Here is a 23,251-nt window from a genome sequence, read left to right on the forward strand (position 1 = left end):
GGTTGTTTTTACCAAACATAAGCAGCATACACATTCTTTTCAAGTTCTCATAGAACGCCCACCAAGATAATCTACATTCTCAGCCATGAAACATACTTAGGCACATTTAAAATAACAGAAATTATTATCTAATAACCTTCAAAAAGCCTATAATTAATAACTTTCCAAAACAGAAATAGATAATAATCTTCAAAAAAGGCTAAGATGGTTTTACTAGTGAATTATATCAAATATTTAAGGAAGAAATAATACTCATTCTTGCTTTTTTTGTTTGTTTGTTTTTTTACTTGAGACGAGTCTCGCTCTGTCGCCCAAGCTGGAGTGCAGTGGCCCAATCTTGGCTCACTGAAAGCTCCGCCTCCTGGGTTCACGCCATTCTCCTGCCTCAGCCTCCGGAGTAGCTGGGACTACGGGAGCCCGCCACCACCCGGCTAATTTTTTGTATTTTTAGTAGAGACGGGGTTTCACCATGTTAGCCAGGATGGTCTCCATCTCCTGACCTCATGATCCGCCCGCCTCGGCCTCCCAAAGTGCTGGGATTACAGGTGTGAGCCACCATGTCCGGCCCTATAATACTAATTCTTGACAATTTTTCCAGAAAATAGAAGCAGAGGAAACACTTCCTAACTCATTTGTAAAGTCAGCATTACCCTACTATCAAACCAGGCTATGACATTATAAGACAAGCAAACCAAAACCAGTATTTTTCATGAACATACATGCAAAAAGCCTCAACAAAATATAAGAAAATAGAATCCAAGATTGTATAAAAAGAATTTCATACTATAACCAAGTGAGATTATTCCAGTTAAGCAAGACTGGTTTAACATTCAAAATCAGTACAATTGCTATGGTTTGGGTGTTTGTCTCCTTCAGATTTCATGTTCAAATATAATCCCCAATGATTAGAGGTGGGGCCTGGTAAAAGGTGTTTGGGCCATAGAGGTGGATCCTTCATGAATAGCTTTGTGCCATTCTTATGGCAATAAGTAAGTTCAGGAGAGATCTGGCTGTATGAAAGAGCCTGGGATCTTCCTTGTCTCTCTCACTCCTCTCACATGTGACTCACTGGCTCCCCTTGACCTTCTGACATGATTGTAAGCCTCTGAGGCCCTCAACAGAAGCAGATGCTTGCACCATGCTTACTGCAGAGTCTGTAGAACTGTGAGTCAAAAGAAATCTCTTTTCTTTATGAATTAACCAGCCTCAGGTACTCCTTTATAACAATACAAATGGGCTGATATGCAATCTACTATATCAACAGGTTACAAAAGAAAAATTATATAATCATATCAGTAGATACAGAAAAAAAGCATTTGACAAAATCCAACATCCACTGATGATAAAAAATCTCAGAAAAATTGATATAGAGTAACTTCCGCAACTTGATTAAAAAAAAATACCTACAGAAAACCTACGGCTGACATTATAACCAATGATGAGATTCAGAAAACTGTCCCCTTAGGATCAGGAACATGGATGACCTCTTTTACCATTCCTATTTAACAATGTAACAGAAATCTTAGCTAATGCAATGAGATAAGAAACAGAAATAAAAGATATACAGGTAGGAAGAAATAAAACTATCATTTTTTTGCATATGGTATGATTTTCAACGTGGAAAAACCCAAAGAATGTACAAATTAATACCTGGACCTAATGCATACATCGAGGTTGTAGGATACAAGGTCAAATTAAAAAGTCAATTGCTTTATTATACATCAGCAATGAGCAATTGGAATTTGCATGGAAAAAAAAGTAAATAACATCCCAAATTTCCAGGTCCATTTGTTGAGAAACTGTTCATTGAATTTGTATTGCCGTTGTCAAGATTCTTGTCTACATATGTGTGTGTTAGTCTATCTCTGAGCTCTTCATTATGTTCTATTAATCCATGTCTATTCTTTCATTAATACAATACCATCTTGATTACTGTTCTTTATAATAAGTTTTCCAATCAGTACTGAACGCCAGCGGTCCTCAACCTTTTTGGCACCAGGGACCAGTTTCGTGAAAGACAATTTTTCAATGGACCGGGGATGGGGTGTGGGTGGGAGTAGAGATGGGGTGGTAGGAGTTTGGTTTTGGGATGACACTGTTCCATCTCAGATCATCAGTCATACTCATAAGGAGTATGCAACCTAAATCCCTTGAATGCACAGTTCACAATAGGGTTCATGCTCCTATGAGAATCGAATGTGGCTGCCAATCTGACAAGAGGGGGAGCTGAATTGGTAGTTGCTCGCTCACCTGCCACTTACCTCCTGCTATGCTGCCCAGTTCCTAACAGGCCACAGACTGTTAATGGTCAGCCACTTGGGTGTTGGGGACCCCTGATGTAAGCCCTCTAACTTTGCTCTTCTTCAGTACCATATTAGCTATGCTACAAAGTTTTGACTTTTCCTATACATTTAAGAATTGGTTTGTTGTTATTTACATAATATCTTGCTGGGAATTTGACTGGGATTATACTGTGTGTCTGTATCAACTTGGGAGGCGTAGCTCTTTTAACAATTTAGAATCTACTAGCCAATGAAGATGGAAAAAATATCTCCATTTATTAGTTCTTCCTTGATTTCATTAATTGGCATTGTGTAGTTTTCCACACACAAACCTTATACATATGTTGTTGATTTATACCTATGAATTACATTTTTGGTGCTATTGTAAATTAATTTTTTCTAAAGGTGCTGCACCATTTAAAATTTCTACCAACAATATATGAGAATGCCAGTTTCTCCAATCTTCACCATAACTTGTTCTGTCTATCTTTTTCATTATAGCTTTCTTAAAGTGTGTGAAGTCGTACCTTACTGAGGTTTAGGTATGCATTTCCCTATGGCCTAATTGTGTTGAGCATCTTTTCATATGCAGATCGACCATTTGTGTATCTTTTTTGGAGTAATAGCCTACTCAAACCCTTTGATTATTTTTAATTGTTATTTTTACTTTTTATTACAGAGTCATAAGGTCTCCTTACATATTGGGTGCAAATTCTACTATGATTTGAATGTTGCCTCCAAGAGTCATGTTGAAAATTAATCTGAAATATGGCAGTATTGAAAAGTAAGGCCTTTAAGAGGTGATTGGATTCACAGATTGATGGACTAAAGGGACTGAGACAGAAAATTGAGACCTGGAAGTGGGGTGTTGCTGATAGTAAATACCTAAAAACATAGAAGAGGCTTTAGAACTGGGTAATGGGCAGAAGCTAAAAGAACTTAGAGAAGCAGGCTAGAAAAAAATCGAGATTCTGGTGCAGACTTAGAATACAAGAAGACTGGGGAAAGTTGGGAACTCTGTAGAGATTGCTTAAGTGGTTATGACCAGCATACTGATAGAAAATATGGACAGGAAAGGCCATTCAGACAAGGTTTTAGATGGAACTGAGAAACAAAATATTAGAAACTGGAGTAAAGACTATCCCTGATATACATGGATAAAGAACTTGGCTGCATTGTATCCAAGTCCAAGGGCTTTGTGAAAGGCCAAACTTGAGAGGGATGAACTAGGATATCTGGTGGAAGAAATTTCTAAGCCACCAAGTTCTCAGGCTGCTGAGTGGTTACTTCTAACTGCTTACAGTGAACCTCTAGAGACAGGAGAAACAGAGGGGGAAAGTCTGTATTTTCCATATAATATTCAGTCTTGCCATGAGGTGGGGAATAAAAGAGCATTTTCAGGAGAGAAATCCAAGAGTGAGGCCCAGCTAGTACTTTCTAAAGAGATTAGCATGGCTAAAAGAGAACCAGGTGCTAAAAGTCAAGACCATGGGGAAAAGGCCCCTGAAGGCATTTCAGAAATCTTTGAGGCTGACCCTCCCCTCACAGACCCAGAGACCTAGGAGGACAGAAGGGTTTTAGGGGACAGGCCCAGGCATGGCTGCCATGTGCCACCTCTGAGCAGTTCTTGCTTCTCCCCACATCACTGTCACTCTGGCTCAAGCAGCCTTAAGTGCAGCTTGTGCCAAAAACTCAGAAGGTACATGTTCTAAAACTTGGTGGCATCCACGTGGTGCTAATTTTGCAGACTTACAGAAAGTGAGAGCTGTGGAGACTTGGCAGATTCTACCTAGATTTCAAAAAATGTCATCAAAAGCCTGAGGGTTCAAGCAGAGACTGGTCACAGGGGCTGACGCCCCCACTAGAGTTATGCTGAGTGGGTATGTGGGGATGGAACTACTGCAGAGAGTCCCCACTAGGGCAATGCCTAGAAAGTCATGGGAGTGAGACTGTCACTAAGACCCCAGAACTGTGGAGCTATCAGTGTGCAACACAAGCATGGTAGAGCTAGGTGGGCTGAGCCAAGAAACCCATTGGGTTGGGGTTGTTTAAGGCCTTGGGGGCTCAACCACCACACCAGTATGCTGAGGATGCCAGACATGAGGTAAAAAGAGATGATTCTGGGGTCTTCAGACCTACTGTCTGTGTCTCTTAGGTTTTAGACTTGCCTAGGGCATGTTACCCCTTTCTTCTTGGCTGTTTTTCCCTTTTGAAATGGGAATGTGTTCCCTATGACTATGCCACATTTGATCCTCAAAGCAGATATCTTGTTCTTATTTCACACGTTTGCAGATGAAACTTTGGACTTTGGATGTGTCAGTTGGTGCTGAAATGAGACAACAGTTTGGAACTATAGAGATACAATGAATGTAATTGTATTTGAGAAGGACATACGTTTGGAAGGAGCAGGAGAAGAATACCGTGGTTTCAGTGTCCCCTCTAAAACTCATGTGAAACTTACTTTTACTTTTATTTTAGGTTCAGGGGTAGGTGTGTAGGTTTGTTATACAGGTAAACTTGTGTCACAGGGGTTTATTGTACAGATTATTTTGTCACCAAGGTATGAAGCCTAGTACCCAATAGTTATTTTTTCTGATTCTGTCCCTCCTCTCACCCTTCACACACAAGTAGGCCCCAGTGTCTATTGTTCCCCTTTTTGTTTCCATGTGTTCTCATCATTTAGTTCCCCCTTATAAGTGAGAACATACAGTATTTGGTTTTCTGTTCCTGCATGAGTTTGCTAAGGACAATGGCCTCCAGCTCCATCAACGTTCCCACAAAGAATGTGATCTCCTTCTTTATTATGGCTGCATAGTATTCCATGGTATGCATGTACCACATTTTCTTCATCCAGTTTTCCACTGATGGGCATTTAGCCTGTCCCATGTTTTTGCAATTATGAATAGTGCTGCAATGAACACATATGTGCATGTGTCTTTGTTGCAATTGCTTTTGGAGTCTTCCTCATGAAATATTTGCCAGTTCCTATGTCCAGAAAGTTACTGCCTAGGTTTTCTTCTGGGGTATTTATAGTTTTGGGTTTTACATTTAAGTCTTTGATCCATCTTGAGTTGATTTTTGTGTATGGTGTAAGGAAGGGTCCAGTTTACATCTTCTGCATATGTCTAGTCAGTTATCACAGCACCAATTATTTCATAGGGAGTCCTTTTCATTGCTTGTTTTTATCAGCTTTGTCAAAGATCAGATTGTTTTAGGTGTGCGGCTTATTTCTGGGCTCTCTATTCTGTTCCATTGATCTATGTATCTGTTTTTGTACCAGTACCATGCTGTTTTGGTTACCATAGCCTTGCAGTAGAGTTTGAAGTGGTAATGTGATGCCTCTAGCTTTGTTCTTTTTGCTTAGGATTGTCTTGGCTGTTTGGGTTTTTGGTTCCATACGAATTCTAAAATAGTTTTTTCTAGTTCTGTGAAGAATGTCATTGGTAGTTTGATAGGAATAGCATTGAATCTGAAATTGCTTTGGGCAGCATGGCCATTTTAACAATATTGGTTATTTATATCCATGAGTATGGAATGTTTTTCCATTTGTTCATGTCATCTCCGATTTCCCTGAACAGCCTTCTGTACTTTTCATTGTAGAGATCTTTCACCTCCCTGGCTAGCTGTATTCCGAAGTATTTTATTCCTTTTATGCTAATTGTGAATGGGATTGAGTTCCTGATTTGGCTCTCGACTTGGCTGTTGTTAGTATATAGAAATATTAGTGATATATGTCCATTAATTTTGTATCCTGAAACTTTGCTGAAGTTGTTTAGCAGGATCTTTTGGGCCGAGACTATGGGTTTTTTAAATACAGAAGCATGTCATCTGCAAACAGGGATATTTTGACTTCCTCTCTTCCTACTTGGATGCCCCTTATTTTCCTCTCTTTCCTGATTGTTCTGTTGAGAACTTCCAATACTATGTTGAATAGGAGTGGTGACAGAGGGAATCCTTGTCTTGTGCTGATTTCCAAGGGGAATGCTTCCAGCTTTTGTCCATTCAGCATGATGTTGGTGGTGGGTTTGTTATAGATGGTGCTTATTATTTTGAGGTATGTTCCTTTAATGTCTAGGTTATAGTGAATTTTTAACATAAAGCGACGTGTAATTTTATCAAAAACCTTTTCTGTATCTATTGAGATAATCGTGGTTTTTGTCTTTCGTTCTGTTTATGTGATGAATCACATTTATTAATTTGCATATGTTGAACCAAACTTGCAAACCAGGATTTAAAGCCTACTTGATCATGGTAGATTAGCTTTTTAATGTGCTGCTAGATTCAGTTTGCTAGTATTTTGTTGAAGATTTTTTGTATCAATGCTCATCAAGGATGTTGGCCTGAAGTTCTCCTTTTTTTTTTTTTTTCTTTTTTTTTGTACCTCTACCAGGTATTGGTATCAGGATGATGCTGGCCTCATAGAATGAGCTGGGGAGGAGTCCTTCCTCCTAAATTTTTTTGGAAATAGTTTCAGTAGACACAGTACCAGCTTTTCTTTGTAGATCTTCTGACAGAATTTGGCTGTGAATCTAACTGGTCCTGGGCTTTTTTTTGGTTGATGGACTATTTATTACTGATTCATTTTCATACCTCGTAATTGGTCATTCTGTCGAGTTTAATTTCTTCCTGGTTCGGTCTTGGAAGGGCATATATGCTTAAGAACTTGTCCATTTGTTCTATATTTTCTACTTTTTGTGCATAGAGGTGTTCATAGTAGTCTCAGACGGTTATTTGTATTTCTGTGGGGTCAGTGGTAACATTCCGTCATTTCTACTTGAGTTTACTTAGGACTTCTCTGTTTTCTTCTTTATTAATTAATCTAGCCAGCAGTCTATCTGTACAACTAATTTTTTCAGAAAAACAAACTCCTGAATTCATTGATCTGTGTAATGGTTTTTCATGTCTCAATCTAATTCAGTTCAGCTCTGATTTTGGTTATTTCTCATCTTCTGCTAACCTTGGGGATGGTTTGCTCCTGCTTCTCTAGTTCTTTTTGTTATGACATTTGGTTGTTAATTTGAGATCTTTCTAACTTTTTGATGTGGACATTCAGTGCTATAAACTTCCCTCTTAACACTGCCTTAGCTGTGTCCCAGAGATTCTGGTATGTTGTATCTTTGTTCTCATTAGTTTCAAAGAATTTCTTGATTGCTGCCTTAATTTCATTATTACCCAAAAAATTCAAAATGAAGTTAATTTCCGTTTAATTGTATGGTTTTGAGCAATTTTCTTAGTCTTGATTTCTATTTTTACTACATTGTAGTCCATGAGAATGGTTGGTATGACTTTGGTTCTTTTGCATTTGCTAAGGATTGTTTCATGAGGATTGTGTGGTCTATCTTAGAGTATGTGCCATGTGGCAATGCAAAGAATGTATATTCTGTTGTTTGGGGATGGAGAGTTCTGTAGATGTCTATCAGGTCCATTTAGTCCAGTGCTGAGTTCAGATTCTGAATATCTTTGTTAATTTTCTGCCTCGTTGATCTGTCTAATACTTTCAGTGGAATGTGAAGTCTACCATTATTATTGTGTGAGAATCTAAGTCTCTTTGATGGTCTCTAACAACTTGCTTTATGAAGCTAGGTGGTCCTGTGTTGGGTGCATGTATATTTAGAATATTTAGGTCTTCTTGTTAAATTGCGCCCTTTACCATTATGTAATGCCCTTCTTTGTCTTTTTTGATCTTTGTTGGTTTAATGTTTGTTTTGTCAGAAACCAGAAACTCCTGTCTTTTTCTGTTTTCCACTTGCTTGGTAGATTTTTCTTCATCGTTTTATTTTGAGCCTTTTGGTGTCATTGCATGTGAGATGGGTCTCTTGAAGACATTATACCATTGGGTCTTCCTTCTTTATCCAGCTTACCACTCTGTACCTTTTAATTGAGGTATTTAGCCCATTTACATTCAAGGTTAGTATCCATATGTGTGGATTTGATCCTGTTATGTTGTTAACTGCTTATTATACAGATTTGTTTCTATGGTTGCTTTGTAATATCATTGATCTGTGTACTTAGGTGGGTTTTTGTAGAGGTTGGTAATGGTCTTTCCCTTCCATATTTAGTGCTTCTTTCAGGAACTCTTGTCAGGCAGGGCTGATGGTAACAAATTCCCTCAGCATTTGCTTGTCTGAGAAGGATATTATTTCTCCTTCACTTATGAAGCTTAGATTGGCCAGATATAAAATTCTTGGTTTGAATTTCATTTCCTTAAGAATGTTGAATATAGGTCCCCAATCTCTTCTGGTTTGTAGGGTGTCTGCTGAGAGCTCTGCTGTTAATGCAATGTGCTTCCTTTTGTAGGTGAGTTGTCCTTTTTCTCTAGCTGCCTTTAACATTTTTTTCTTTTATTTCAACATTGGAGAATCTAACAATTATGTGTCTTAGGGATGATTGTCTTGTGAAATATGCAAGGGTTCTCTACATTTCCTGAATTTGAATGTTGGTCTCTCTAGCTAGTTTGGGGAAATTTTCATGGATGATATCCTGAAATATATTTTCCAAGTTGCTTTCATTCTCCTTATCTCTTTCAGGGACATTTCTACAATAGGCTTGTAGAAAATTTTGAAATTAGAAAGTGAGAGTTCTCCAAATTTGTTCTTTTTTCTAAAGTTTGTTTTATCTACCTCGAGTTCCTTGAATTTTGATATAAACATTAGGATCAGCTTTTCAATTTCTGCAGAAAAAGGCAGCTGGGGTTTTGATAGGCTATAATGAATTTGTAGATCAATTTGGGAACCAATTTATCTTAGCCATGTAAGTCTTTCACTTCACATACACGGGGTTTTTTTTTTTCCATTTATTTAGATATTCTTTAATTTATTTAAGCAACATTTTGTTTTGGTATGCACATCTTACACTTATTTTGTTTAATACATACCTAATTGTTTTATTATTTTTGATGCTATTGCAAATAGAATTGGTTTCTTAATTTTTGGAATGATTTCTTCTAGTGTATAGAAATACAATTGATTTTGCTATTTATGATTTATCCTGTAATCTCTCTGTGTTCATTTATAAATTTTAATATGTTTTTCATTAGACTCCTCAGGAATTTCTGTGTACAAGATCAAGTTATCTATGACTAAATAACAATTTTCCTCTTCCTGTCTAATCTAGATGCCTTTTGTGTTTGTTTGTTTTTTTCTTTATTTCCCTGCCTAAAATCTCAAGTACAATGTAAAATAGAGCGGGTAAGAGCTGACATTCTTGTCTTATTCCTGATTTTGGGGGAAAACAGTCAGTTTTACACCATTAAGTACAATGTTACCTCAGGGTTCTTTAGAGGCCCTTTGGTAGTTTGTGAAAGTTCTCTTTTATTTGTAACTTGTTAAGTGTTCTTATGAGATGGTGTTGAATTTTCTCAAATGTGTTACTTTTATCTGTTGAGATACTTATATTTTTCCCCAAATTTTATGACTGTAGTATAACTAATTAATGGATTTTTGGTTGTTAAACCAACTTCACATTGCTGTGATAAATGCTACTTGATTGTGAATGTTGTGTAATCCTTTTATATAGGTTGTTGGGTTTGGTTTGCTTGTAATTTTGTGGAGAATTTTTGCATCTATACTCATAAGAGATGTTGGTCTGTAGTTTTCTTGTGATATCTTTGTCTAGTTTTGGTATCAGAGTAATATTGGCCTTATGTAATGAGTTAGAATATTTATCCTCCTCTTCTGTTTTTTGGAAGAGTTTATGAAGAATTGATATTAATTATTTTCTAATGTTTGGTAGAATTAAACAGTGAAGCTATCTGGGCCTGGGCATTTCTTTGTGGGGAGTTTTTAAATATCCAGTTCTATTTTTTTCTTATTATTATAGGAATCCAGATTTTCTATTTCTTCTTGAATCATTTTTGGTATGTGTCATGCTAGAAATTGTTCATTTTAAGTTATAATTTGTTGGCATATAATTATTTATATTATTTCCTTATAATAATATTTCATAATATAAGAATATTTTCATAATCATTTTCTAAATTTCTGTAAGGTCAGTAATGATGTGCCTTCCTTCATTTCATTCTAAAATTTAACAATTTTAGTAGTCTCTCTTTTCTTTCTTAGCCATTCTAGCTAAAGATTAGTTAATATTTTTTATCTTTTCTTTTTTTTTTTTTTCAGATACTATCAGAGGAACCATCCCCTAATATTTCAACATAGGTTCTTTTCTATTTTCCCTAAGTGTCGGCCATTCTGAGAAATAAAGAGAAAGAGTACAAAAGAGAGAAATTTTACAGCTGGGCCTCCAGGGGTGACATCACTATTGGTAGGTTCCATGATGCCTCTTAAGCTGCAAAACCAGCAAGTTTTTATTAGGGATTCCAAAAGGGGAGGGGGGTATGAACAGGGAGTAAGTCACAAAGATCACATGCTTCAAAGGGCAATAAAACATCATGAGGGCAGAAGAGCAGAGCAAGATCACAAGGTCAGGGTGAAATAAGAATTACTGATGAGGTTCCATGTCCCACTGGGCATGTATTGTCTTGATAAACATCTTAACAGGAAACAGGATTCCAGAGCAGACAACCAGTCTGACTAGAATTCACCAGGCTGGAATTTCCCAATCCTAGTAAGCCTGAAGGTACTGCAGGAGACCAGGGCTTATTTCATCCCTTAGCTTCAACCACGTAAGACAGACACTCCCAGAGTGGCCATCCATAGACCTACCCCTGGAAATGCATTCCTTCCCCAGGGTTATTCCTTGCTGGGAAAAAAATTCAGCGATACTTCTCCTACTCGCTTTCTGCAAGAAGAAAACTATGGCTTCATTCTGCTGGACCCCACAGGCAGTCAGACCTTAAGGTTATCTTCCTTTGTTCCCCAAACATCGTTGTTGTTCTGTTCTTTTTCTGGGTGCCCTGATTTCATATTTTTCAAACACACATGTTTTACAAACAATTTGTGCAGTTAATGCAATCATCACAGGATTCCAAGGTGACATACATCCTCAGCTTACAAAGATGATGGGATTATGAAATTAAAGTAAAGACAGGCATAGGATATTATAAAAGTATTGACTGGGGAAGTGATAAATGTCCATGAAATCTTCACAATTTATGTTCAGAGATTGCAGTAAAGATAGGTGTAAGAAATTATAAAAGTATTAATTTTGGGAACGGATAAATGTCCATGAAATCTTCACAATTTGTGTTCTTCTGCCATGGCTTCAGCCGGTCCCTCCATTTTGGACAAGAGACAAAAAAAAGGTTGCCCAGGTTGGAGTGCAGTGGCATGATCATGGGTCACTACCGCCTTGAACTCCTGGACTCAAGTGATTCTCCTGCCTCAGCTTCTCAAGTACCTGGGGCTACAGGTGCATAACACTATGCCTGGGTAATTTTTTGATATTTTGAGAAAGAGTCTCCCTATGTTGCCCAGGCTAGTCTCGAACTCCTGGGCTCAAGCAATCTTCCTGCCTCAGCCTCCCAAAGTGTTGGGATTATAGGTATGAGCCACTGTACCTGGCTTGTTGAGATTTTCAAAGTCATCTTTTGTTTTTGTTGCTTTTCTTTATTATTTTTCTATCCTCTATTTTATTTATTTCCTCTAATCATTATTGGTTTCTTTTTTCTTCTTGCTTTGAGTTTAATTTACTCTTCTTTTTCTAGGTTCTTCAGATGAAAGATTAGTTTATTGATTTGAGACTTTTCTTCTTTTTTAATATGCTCGTTTATAACTGTAAATATACCCCTAAGCATTGTTTAACTGTATTCTATAAGTTTTGGTCTGTTGTGTTTTTGTTTTAATTCTTTTCATAGTATTTTTAAATTTCCTTTGAAATTTCTTCTTCAACCCCTAAGTATTTTAGGAGTGTGTTTAATTTCCATATATTTGTGGTTTCCCCAATTTCCTTTTTTAATTGATTTCTAATTTTATTTCATTGTGATTGGAGAAGAGAACATACTTTATATTTCAATCATTTTAAGTGTATTGAGGCTTGTATTACGGTTCAGCATATGGTCCATCTCACAAAACATTCCCTGTGCACTTCAGATTATATGTTCTGCAGCTACAGTTTGGTGAAGTACTCCATAGATATATGCTACATCTAGTTGGTTAAAAATGTTTTTCAAGTCTCTTATTTCCTTATGAGACTTCTGCTTAGTTAACTGAGAGCTTAAAAAGTTGATCTCATGGAGGTAGAGAGTAGAATGATGTTTACTAGAGGCTGGAGAGTAAGGCAGAGTGTGAAGAGAGGTGGGTTAAGGTATAAACATACTGTTAGGCAGAAGGAATAAGTTCTAAAAATTGGTAGCAAAGTAAGGTGACTATAATTAGCAACAATATATTCTATATTTCCAAATAGCTAGAAAGCAAAATTTAAAATGTTTCCAACAGAAAGAAATGATAAATGTTCAAGGTGATGGATATCCTAAATACCCTGATTGGATAATTACACATTGTATGCATGTATCAAAATAGTATATGTACCCCATAAATATGTACAATTATTATGTATCAATAAAAAAATTTTAAAAAAGAAAATGGGCTATTAAAGTCTCCCCTTGTTATTGTTGAATTGTCTGTTCCTCCCTTCAATTCTGTCCGTTTTTTATTCATTTATTTAGGTGCAGGTAATTTAGGTTTATACATGGGCATATGATTTCTTTATGTCTTTTATTACTTGCCAACATTTTCTAGTTTAATATTTAAGTGTGTTTATAGCTGCCTATTGGATCATTTTTATAATACTGCTTGGAAGTCCTTGTCAGTTAATCCAACATTTCTGTCATCTTGTCATGGGTTTCTCTTAATTTCATTATCCCATATGAATTGAGATTACTGTGGCTCCTCATATGCCAAGTGATTTTTGCTTGATTGTGGCCATTTTGAATACTATATTATCATACTTTGGGTTTTACTTATGTCCTGTGGAGAATGTTGATAATTTTCCTTTAGCCTTCTATAGGCCATGGTTCCAATGTCAATTCAGTTTTCAAAGCCATTGCAGTGAATTTTTTTTTTTTTGCTCCTGCATATGCAAGTGGTCAGCCTGAGATCTGACCATAGGTTAGTTCTTCAAGTCTTTCATATGCTAATTAGGATCACATTAATACTCAAATAAGTCAAGGGTTAACCCAGGAGTGCATAAACAGAATCATTGCTTTTCCTAGCTATTTTCTCTATTATCTCACTGGTATTTTTCAGACCACTGGATTTCAGTCCTCTGGTCAGAAACTGTCCTCTTCTGTGATTGCACTGCCTCTAGAATCAAGTGGCAGGAGGAGAGAAAGACAGGAGAAAATCCAACAGAGTCTGCCCCATCCGCTTGGAGACACACACACCTCCACCTGAGGGAAAATAAATTTCTTATTCCTTAAAGTTTTAGCTGCAGGGTCACCTGGGTGTACGGTGCAATAGAACAGAAAAATAAGGTGAGGAAAAAAATCAAGAGATTTCCCTCACTCTCTCTGAGGTTTCGGAGTTGCCATTTTTGCTCCTCAAGCCTGAACTGGAGGGTTTCTCTTTGATCTGTCTGAACCACAATGCTGACTTCCAACTTCCAAATTGCATTGGGTTCAGGTCAAGAGATAAGTAGAAGAAAAAAAAAAGGCAAACTTACGGTCCATTTAGTGGTACAACAAATTCAGATGCTTTTCCCTTTTTTCCCCACTAATACGTTTCAGTATTTTCAAATGCTATTCATGCAATTTGTGCAGCTTTGATAGTTGCATTCATTGAGAAAAGAAGGATTCCTATTTTTACTGGAAATGCAAGATAATTTTTTAATAATTTCTACAGTTGACATTTCAGAACATTTTAAAAGCATCATTAAACTTTAGTCATTTGTTTTCTTACCTTTTGTGAAACTTTTTTGGGGGATGGGTTTCAGATTGACTTTATGTGGACTGGAATAATCAAGAAGGACGAATTTCCACCTGATAATATGCTTGAAATAATACACCAATCTTATGAACGAATTCCAAACTAATATGGAATATTTTCTACAATAAATTATATCTTCTCAATTTCTTGTTTCAATTCCCCAAGACTGCCGTTCCTTCACATAAGCTCATTTTGAGTATAGTCCATAGATCTAGCCTTCAAAAATGTCTGCTGGGAAGAGGAGATTTCATAGGTTTTCATCTCAGAGCATTTCTACTCTTCTTTTTATAAGAATTTAAAAAAAAACAAAACACACATCCATTCTTTCCCTCCACCGCAAATTTGACTATTATTTATTTTTAACTATTTTTCTTTCTTTCAAATTTGAAGTTGAGTTTAGATACATTTATCTCCATAAGAAAGAATTCAGGTAGCCACTAATCAAAAATTCTAACTAGCACCTGATAACTATTTCTACTTATATCTGAAGTCAGATATATAATAAATTTCTCTGAGAAATTCATTAGAAACTTTAATTCCAGAGATTCAACCCATTGTTGTCCTTTTCCACATACAGTCATATGCTGCATAATAATGTTTCAATCAGTGATGGACTGCACATAAAATAGTGGTCCCATAAGCTTATAACATTGTATTTTTATATACTTTTTCTATGTTTAGATACACACTTACCATTGTGTTACAATTGCCTACAGTATTCATTACAGTAACAGGTTTGTAGCCCAGGAGCTGTATCATATAGCCTAGGTGTGTAGTAGGCTATACCATCTAGTTTTTTCTAAGTACCTTGTATGATGTTTGTACAATGAAGAAATCCCATAATGACCATATATCAAGTTCATATATCAGAGTTTTTGGTTTTGACTGTACATATATTTTTTTGATGTCAGACAGTGTCTTACACATTCTATCTAATTTAAACTGAATTTTACAGGAAACTAGATTTTAGAGGGGCACAACAATGTGGCCAAGAGCATATAGATATTAACAAAAGCTGGACTATATTTTAGATCATTTAACATCTGGGACACAAATCTCTCCATGCAACACTGTGTCTTTTAGAAGTTCAGGTTTAAGAAAACTGGCTTATATCATCAGTATATAGTTTCCAGCATCATTTCTTTTGTTCCATGAAGAAAATTATGACAATGTATTTATCTGTACGATTATGGTTAAATGTATGTTTGATTTATGTTAGAATCAAATATATATGTAGAAAAATGATATGGTGAGCCTGACCCAGGGAAAATGCTAATAGCTAAGGTTTAATCAATAAATACATTAAAGCTTCTCCTGATCCTGCTCTTGCAACAAATTCCAAACATAAAGTTGCTTGACAAATTCATTTCATGAGTTAAATGAGAGTATACCTTCTAATTTGTTTTCATATTTAATTATCCATTTATTCTTTTGATTCATAGGCAGTAATTTCATACTGTTGATTCCCTCTTGACCTTGTGCTTGTAACTGAATCCTGAGATCTGGCTTGTGGCCCAGGAATATGTAGAAAATTGTTTATATTAGCAGCAAGCTGCCTTGAGCTGCAATGCTTTGATTTAATGTTATAACTGTACTAAAAGTAGCATAGCTTTCCCATGTACTCTCTACTCTGCTCAAATCCCTTGTCATTATAACAGATGTTTGGATTATTGTTCTGTAAACTATGTCAGAATTTCAATCTCTAGTATCTGTTTATTATTCTCCAAGGGTGATATTACAAATGTTCTCATGCACAGTTAATACTTATAAAACAGGCTGTCTTATTTCCCATTAAAAAAAATCTCAGCAGAAAATATTTTTAAAATCAGAGTAAATATACCAAATTTGGGGAGAGTGTTTAAGTATGTATGAACAAATGATTCCAACTGAAAATGGGCAATATTTCAGAAAGTGTTCCAATCATTTAAAAAGACAAAACTACAGTTTTATCTTAAGCATATGTGATACTGAGTTTTAAAAATTTATTTAAGTACATGTATAATTTATCTATAAATACTATTTATATTTAAATGTTATATTTAAATACTATATTAAATAATTTTATTCTGATATTGAGATATAACAATTTATACTGAAGTCTGTAAAAGCCATATGTACTGATAAAACCTCATGGATTTGAAGTGTTTAATATTAACAAATAAAACAGTTATTGGAATAAAAGAATGTAAGCCCAAATGCTCATGAAGGTACCAGAAATATGTGGTAAGAATACCACTGATTAAAATTTGTACGTGAGTGGAAAATCTCATTACCTTAAAAAAAAAAAAAAGGTCACTGGCAGCTTTTTAACATACATTTTTAAAGCCTGAACTGTTACTTTCCTTCTGTTGTTTGAGTGAGTTATGGCAGCTTTTACAAGGGCATGAAATAAGATTTCCTGAGGTGACTTGGTCCAATTGGATGTTGAGGAAGAGCAAAATCTCTGAAATAGTATTTCTTCTTTACATTTTTATATTTTAATTATTGCCTTAAAAATTAGTATATTCTAAATTGAGCCTCTGTCAGATATAGGAGCATTATGCCTGAGGAATAATCTTACCGTATCTAGAAAACAAGGTTAGTAGCTAGAACTGTTTGTAGTTAGAACTATTTACATAAAAATAATTTGCTTCTCTCATTTACTGCACATATATTTTCAACTTTCTTGTTATTTCTAATTTTTAGCCTTTTTTTCTTTTGAACACAAAAATGTCATAAAAATCAGAAAATGAGGAAAAAGAGGAGACTATTCTTTTGAAATGATTTAGAAGGAGAGTGACAGAATTCTTCTGGGAAATAAAAGGAGAGGGGAAGGGAGAGTTTAAGGAAAAGGGTCAATTAGCTACTCAATCAGCCCCATAGAAAAAAGGTGCTGTAGCTTTTTCTTCATTCATTTTGCTTTAAAGAGTGGATACAGCTACAACAGGGTTCGGCGGCTGCAAGAATACCAACATGCATTACGTTTGCATGTAGGATTTTAAAAAACGAAGGAAAAAAAAAGAAAAAAAAACAAGGTCAGCTTCGGAAATGATGAATGCCTTTTTGCTGAAAGCTGTACCGAAGGTCCTTGAGTTTAATCAAAACTATTTGTTTTTAGTCAGCTTTGCTGTTGTCTCTTTTACTCTTGTCCACTGATAGCTTGACATTAATGACATCATAAATCATGTGAAGTGGCGGCTTGGGTTTGGTAGCATTTCAAGTGTGTGTTGAGATGTCCTGGACTATCTGAAGGGCTGGTGCAAGGTTGGATATCATCCTGGACTGAATCTTTAGTTTATGGCACTATTTGGTTGGTAAAAGTATGGAATGCATTATTAGTGTGATGGGCTTTCATTAAAGAGCATCTGGCTCCTTATTAAATTCAGACTTTAGAAAGATTATTGAATGGGTGGATTTATCTTTAATTCTGCTTCTTAAATGTTTTAAAACCTAATTTTAAAATCCCACTTTAAAATAAAGACCTGCTTTTCTGGGCTTGTCAATTCCTATGGTCATTCAATGGCTATAAAGTAAAATATCAGAGTCCCTTTGCACAGTTCAAGTTTGCACGCTGTACAGCCAATTGAGACTTGAACAGTATGTACAATTTGAGAAAATCTATCACTTACACTTTGTAAAAGGCTCTTGTTAAGTATAAAGCATCATCTGTACATTGGGAAATGTACTCTTTGAAAAATGCCTAGCTTTTATCAGTTTTTTGTTTTAGAATGATTTCACTGAATCATGCTACATTTTATGGCTTGTTATCTGTGCGACTGTGTTCTTAGAACATGCTTTTTATTATCATCGTACTTTACCGTTAAGGGAAGAAAACATTTTTCTTTAACTGTTATTTATTTAATGGCATTTTTTATATTAAAAACTGATATATATGTGTGTGTTATATATATAATAAGAATAATATGTAGATCATTTACTTTCTTAACAGGTCAATACATAAAGAAGTTAAAGAGCTTTCTTTGTTTTATAAGCCAACTGACAAAAAGAGATGTCTTTTCTTCAGTCATGGCAAAGTACAGCATCTTCAAATATGCATTGCATATTGTAATAGAGCAGTTCTCATAGTTTTGAGAAAGTTTAGCCAAAATATATAAACAGTTGTCCAGGTTTTATCACAAAATGCAGATTATCATCTACAAGCAAAGTGGATTCAATTAAATTATTGCTACACAATCCTAGGGCAAAAACTGAATAAAACAACATCAAACAAAACTATTTGACACTTTGGATAATTTAATCCTTTATTTTTAACTGAATTTGAGGGGGAAATGTTGAATATGGGTACAAATAGATTCCTAAAAACTGCATTTACAGATATTTTTTACCTGTTTTAAAATAAAAGCTAAGAGGTTATTTCTCCATATATCAATGAAGTTTTTTTCACAAATTATTTTAGTAAAAATAATCTAACCTGATATAGCATTAGAAGATTTTTTCTTTTCTAAAACAAGATATATTGACAGCATAAATGAATTCAAACAATATTTTATTCTTCCTTCAAATAGAATTGGTTCCTGTTATAAAAAAAGGATTTCTTTTTTTTAATGACTCAAATGTAGGTGTCTCTGACTATATTCTGGAGAATATACTCAAGGACTAGTTATTTATACACCTTTTCTTACCCAAACTTCTCCTCATCTCCTATCTCTTTGTTGCACATCTGTCTCCCCTTTTCTCCCAAAAAACGATTTTTGTTTGCTTTTTCTCATTGTGTATTTACTCATTTTTGCTTTCATCTGATCTATGCATGATAGAATCAGGCAGGATTATTTCTCTTCAGATTCTATGTGCTATGGTGAAAATAACTAAGTATTTCTTGGTCTGTGCTAGTTCTCCTGATTTAGGTACAGCAAATAATTACTTTCCCCACAAAAACAGAAAGACTGAACTTGCTCCAGAAAACAGAATGCACATCCCCAATGACACACAAAATGTTTGGACATGCTGGTGTGCAAAAGGGATCAATTCCATGATTTGTTCCAGAAAAAGTTATCTTAGACTCACAAGTGTGCAAGTTTCATTTTTCTCCATCCATTTATCTTGTAAACATTTATAATGCATCAAATATATATTTGGCAGACCCCCTTTGCCTATTAACAAAAATAACATTAGTCATAAGTGGGCAAATAAGGTTTTTCTAGTAAAATAAACATTTAATAAAGAACAACATCAATGTGATTCATTACTCTTATTTGCTGAAGGGTTGATTCTAAAGAATTTTTCTTTCTAGACCATTAGCAAGAAAAGATTGGCAGAACAACTTGGAGAATCTACCTCGTGCAGAACCACTGTTACTACCCCTCTCTGAAACATGGAAACATATGTTTGCACATTTCTACACATGTATACAGCCTTTATATGTCCAAGTTTATTCACATACAAAATTATACCAAGCTCAGGTAAAATAGCTGGATAAAAAGTTTCATTCTTTCTGCAGATTTTCATTTTAATCTAAGCTCCTGTTAGGAGCCTGATGAAAAACTATAAGCTCTGAGTCTATTCTAAGATGAACCAAACTCCAGGTCATATATAAATAGCGAAAGATGGTAATTACAGTGAAAGATGTGCGGCATTATTTATTTCTAAATAACAGACACCCCTGGCAGTATTGTATATCAAATTATTATTGAAAGCCTCTGTCTGGATGTTACGCTAACTTATTTTACAACTAATTGTCTTTTACCACTAAGCATGAAGTATATATAAAGTTTGGTAAGTAAAATCATCTAATTTGGCAAGGGACATATTAAAATGAAAGCATTTGTGTCATAAAATACACTACAGCAGCTTGTTCACGATTGTCAAATGCAATTTCATAAATACATTGCCATAAAGATATTTTGAGTAACTTTTTTCTATGGTAAGATGGGATTTATAGAAGAATGCATCACTCAAAATTTCAAAAATGTGTTTAGAAATGGAAAAATACCCTTATTCTTCAAGCTATGACTCCACAAGGACAGTGCAGGTTAACAGGAGCTACCATAATGAGGGTCCTTCAAAAGCATTCTTCCTGTACCCACGTGAACCAAGTGCAGATTTCCATTCTCTAAGAGTGACAAAGTCAAGTCTGGCAGATAATCAGCATTTAGACATATTCCATAGAAAAATTCTCCTTTATCAGAATTTTCTCCATATTGCGTTCCTAAATTTTATGTAAATTCAAGTCGACTTTTAAACAGATACTAAATGTGGTCTAATGGTAACTGATGGAAAGCAAGGCAGATTTTCCATACAGCTTTGGATATTCATAGAAAGCAAGTCTGCCGCATATACTGGTACAAGTTGTTCACCATACAAGGATACCCAACCGTGAGCATAAGGAGACATGAAATGCACCCTGGCAAGGTGTTTCTTTGTCTATACCTTGGTAAGATAAAATCTTACCAAGCTGGGCGTGCAGGGTGTTGTGTTTGTCTAAAGGGCATACCTTTTCCTAGTTCACATAATTATACATGGGGATTATCAGAGGCCTTTGTAGAAAGATCTATGTTTCATTTGTTAAAACAAAACAAAATTATAGCCAATCTCAAAAGTGATTTTAAATTTGTTTTAGGTGAGACAAAGCTTGAGCTTTAAGTGGCATGGAATTAGGAAATTTTAGGAAGAGTATCTTGTAGGATACCTAACTTCTGAATGAGGCAATACCACTTCCCCATTACTGAGCACCCTTAACTAAATTGCTTTAAGATTTTGTAATTGCCTTTTCATGATTACTGTAATTCCATTGTATTTAAATCCCTTTCAAATGGTCACATATAAATGTGTCAACAGCTTATTCATACCATATTAGAGCTGTTAAAACAAAGACATGCACTTTTTCTCTCATGTTCACGAAGACTAAAAACAAAAACTGAGCTAAGGCTATCTCTGTGAGAAATGATAACTTCTAGAATATACCAGAATTTTCTAATTGAAGAACTAAAGAACATAATTGGACCTTATTTCCTTAGGCTATTGATATGCTAATGCTAATATTACGTTAGGTCAGGGTTAACCCCAAAGAATAAGTTATTGAGCTTTGCTAATATCTTCATGGTACTTGTCAATAACAGTCTGGCTGTAGCACTGGTCTTCAAGTCTCAATCTCAAATAGTGTTTTGTATAATAATGTAAAATAAATATGAATAGTTTCCCAGGCCTCGTATAAAATACTTTTTATTTATTTAATTAATATTTATTGACCTTCTATGTGAAGCATTTAGAATAAAAAACTGTATATTGAAATTGATTTTATAGATTTACCGATCCTTTCCCCTTATGCAAAGAGATGTCTAGCACCATTTAATAGAAAATATGCTCAGTTTTAGCTATATCTTCTTGAGATAATCTTTTATAGATTCAATGAGATAGTCATAGGACATATTTTTTTCTATGGAAAACATATTGGATATTTTAAAAAGATGTTTTTAAAATATGGAAACCTTTTATATGCTTGCTTGTCTTGAGAGTGCTAGTGAGTAACAGAAAGTCACAAGAGGTATATGACGTATGGACTCCAAAGCAGTATTTTACTATAAAAGCATGGAACCCTGCTGGCATATGTAATTTAATGTGCACCATGCCTCCCCTAATTCAATCAGGTCTCTACATCCCTTCTTTTATATTCCAATTGGATTCCATATGCTAAAGCCATCAAGATTTTCAGGATGAAATGAATGCTTGTATTAATCCTGCAATTTCCATTTAAAACACAGCATCGATTTGATTAATAAGGTTTGATGCTGAATAATTATATGGCAAATATGTAGGCTATAGGAAAACCACAGATGTGACCACCAGCAAAAGCCTTGTGGGAGAAGGGGTCAAAGGAAAGCAATGGCCATGACTGAGGTGATGAATTCTTTGGCTTTTCTTTTATGCAATTAACAAGCAGGGCTTCTATTAATTTGCCACCCCCAGAGCCTTGACTGGTCAGATGCATCTGGGTCAAGGGTCACAGGGGCAGAGTTGAGGTCAGCATCAGAGCAGACTTGAAACAAAATGGGAAAACTAAAGAAATCCAAATAATATAGCTGAATATACATTCTGTAGTATGAAAGGGATGGGGAGGAAGTGCATCTTCTTAATATTAAGATTGCTGTTTTAGAATAATAAAAATGTTCTCTGCACATTTAATTCAAAGTAATCAACCTAAGGTGCAGTGGTTGAGCATCCAATAAAAGAAAATCAATGTGGTCTCTACAAGGGAAGACAAACAATGCTCGCTTTCACTAAAGGGATTATAGGTTAACATTTATTCAGTGTATTGTAATCTGATGTCAAGTGGTATAAAATCAAGCCAACAATCCATTACTACCCGTTATAGGCGAGGTGCTGATCTCATGCAAATTGACTTTTCATAGAACTTATTAAATCATTTCTACGTTCTAGCTAGGAAACATTTTTCTACAGTGGCTGAACCTCAATGAATTTTACTTCACATCTTGAATGAAGGCATGTCAAAAAGACAAATATTGTTTATCTTAAATATTTTTCAAAAGTTTATTATGCTTCTAGTCATTAATTTATTATATAAAATACATATTTTTTGTGTTTCTATTAAAACAAGGAATTTGGTCATGATACTGAATCTCAATATTTTTCCTCCTAAACCCTTTCATTTCACCGCTACAGATGTCATTGTATCAGTTCAATAATAAAATTTAATAATTTTTATAATATATAATATTTTGAAATTTTTATAATACCTTGAGAATAATTGTAATGCATTTTCAAATTTTCATAGAATTTAGATTTCTTTACAATTTAAGAGAAATAATTCTTGCTTTATCAGGAATATGCATGCTCATAATTTTGAGTTTGTTTTATGTAGACTAAAGTCTACGTTTTACACTGTAGATATTGTGAGAATAAGATATTTCTTAATCTGTTTCATACAATAGGTTATAAAGATTCCACAGTTTGGGAATTAATAATTGTCAACATTATAATTATCTTAAATATAGGTAGCCGGGTTCGTTAGCATATTAGCCTAGTATCCCCATTATTTGCTTGGGCAATAAGGTTTTATCATGATTGCAAACACCTCTTCATCAAAATGCAGTGATCTTTTGAAGTATTAGAAAAAGTTAGTGATCTCTCGTTAAGCATAATAGAAAAATTGCTAGCAAACCTGTCAAAGTTAACATTTTTTTCTAAAGAACT

The 23,251-nt window shown here is 35.0% G+C and overlaps 1 annotated feature.

Moving 5' to 3' along the window:
• Positions 20,868-22,894: an enhancer, noted in NCBI's record as "VISTA enhancer hs1079". NCBI's record gives its function as "enhancer in: neural tube[6/9] | hindbrain (rhombencephalon)[7/9] | midbrain (mesencephalon)[7/9]" and the evidence as "EXISTENCE:transgenic organism evidence [ECO:0001131][PMID:17130149]".

This window comes from Homo sapiens, chromosome 5 (assembly GCF_000001405.40).
Source record: "Homo sapiens chromosome 5, GRCh38.p14 Primary Assembly".
Classification (NCBI taxonomy): Eukaryota; Metazoa; Chordata; class Mammalia; order Primates; family Hominidae; genus Homo; species Homo sapiens.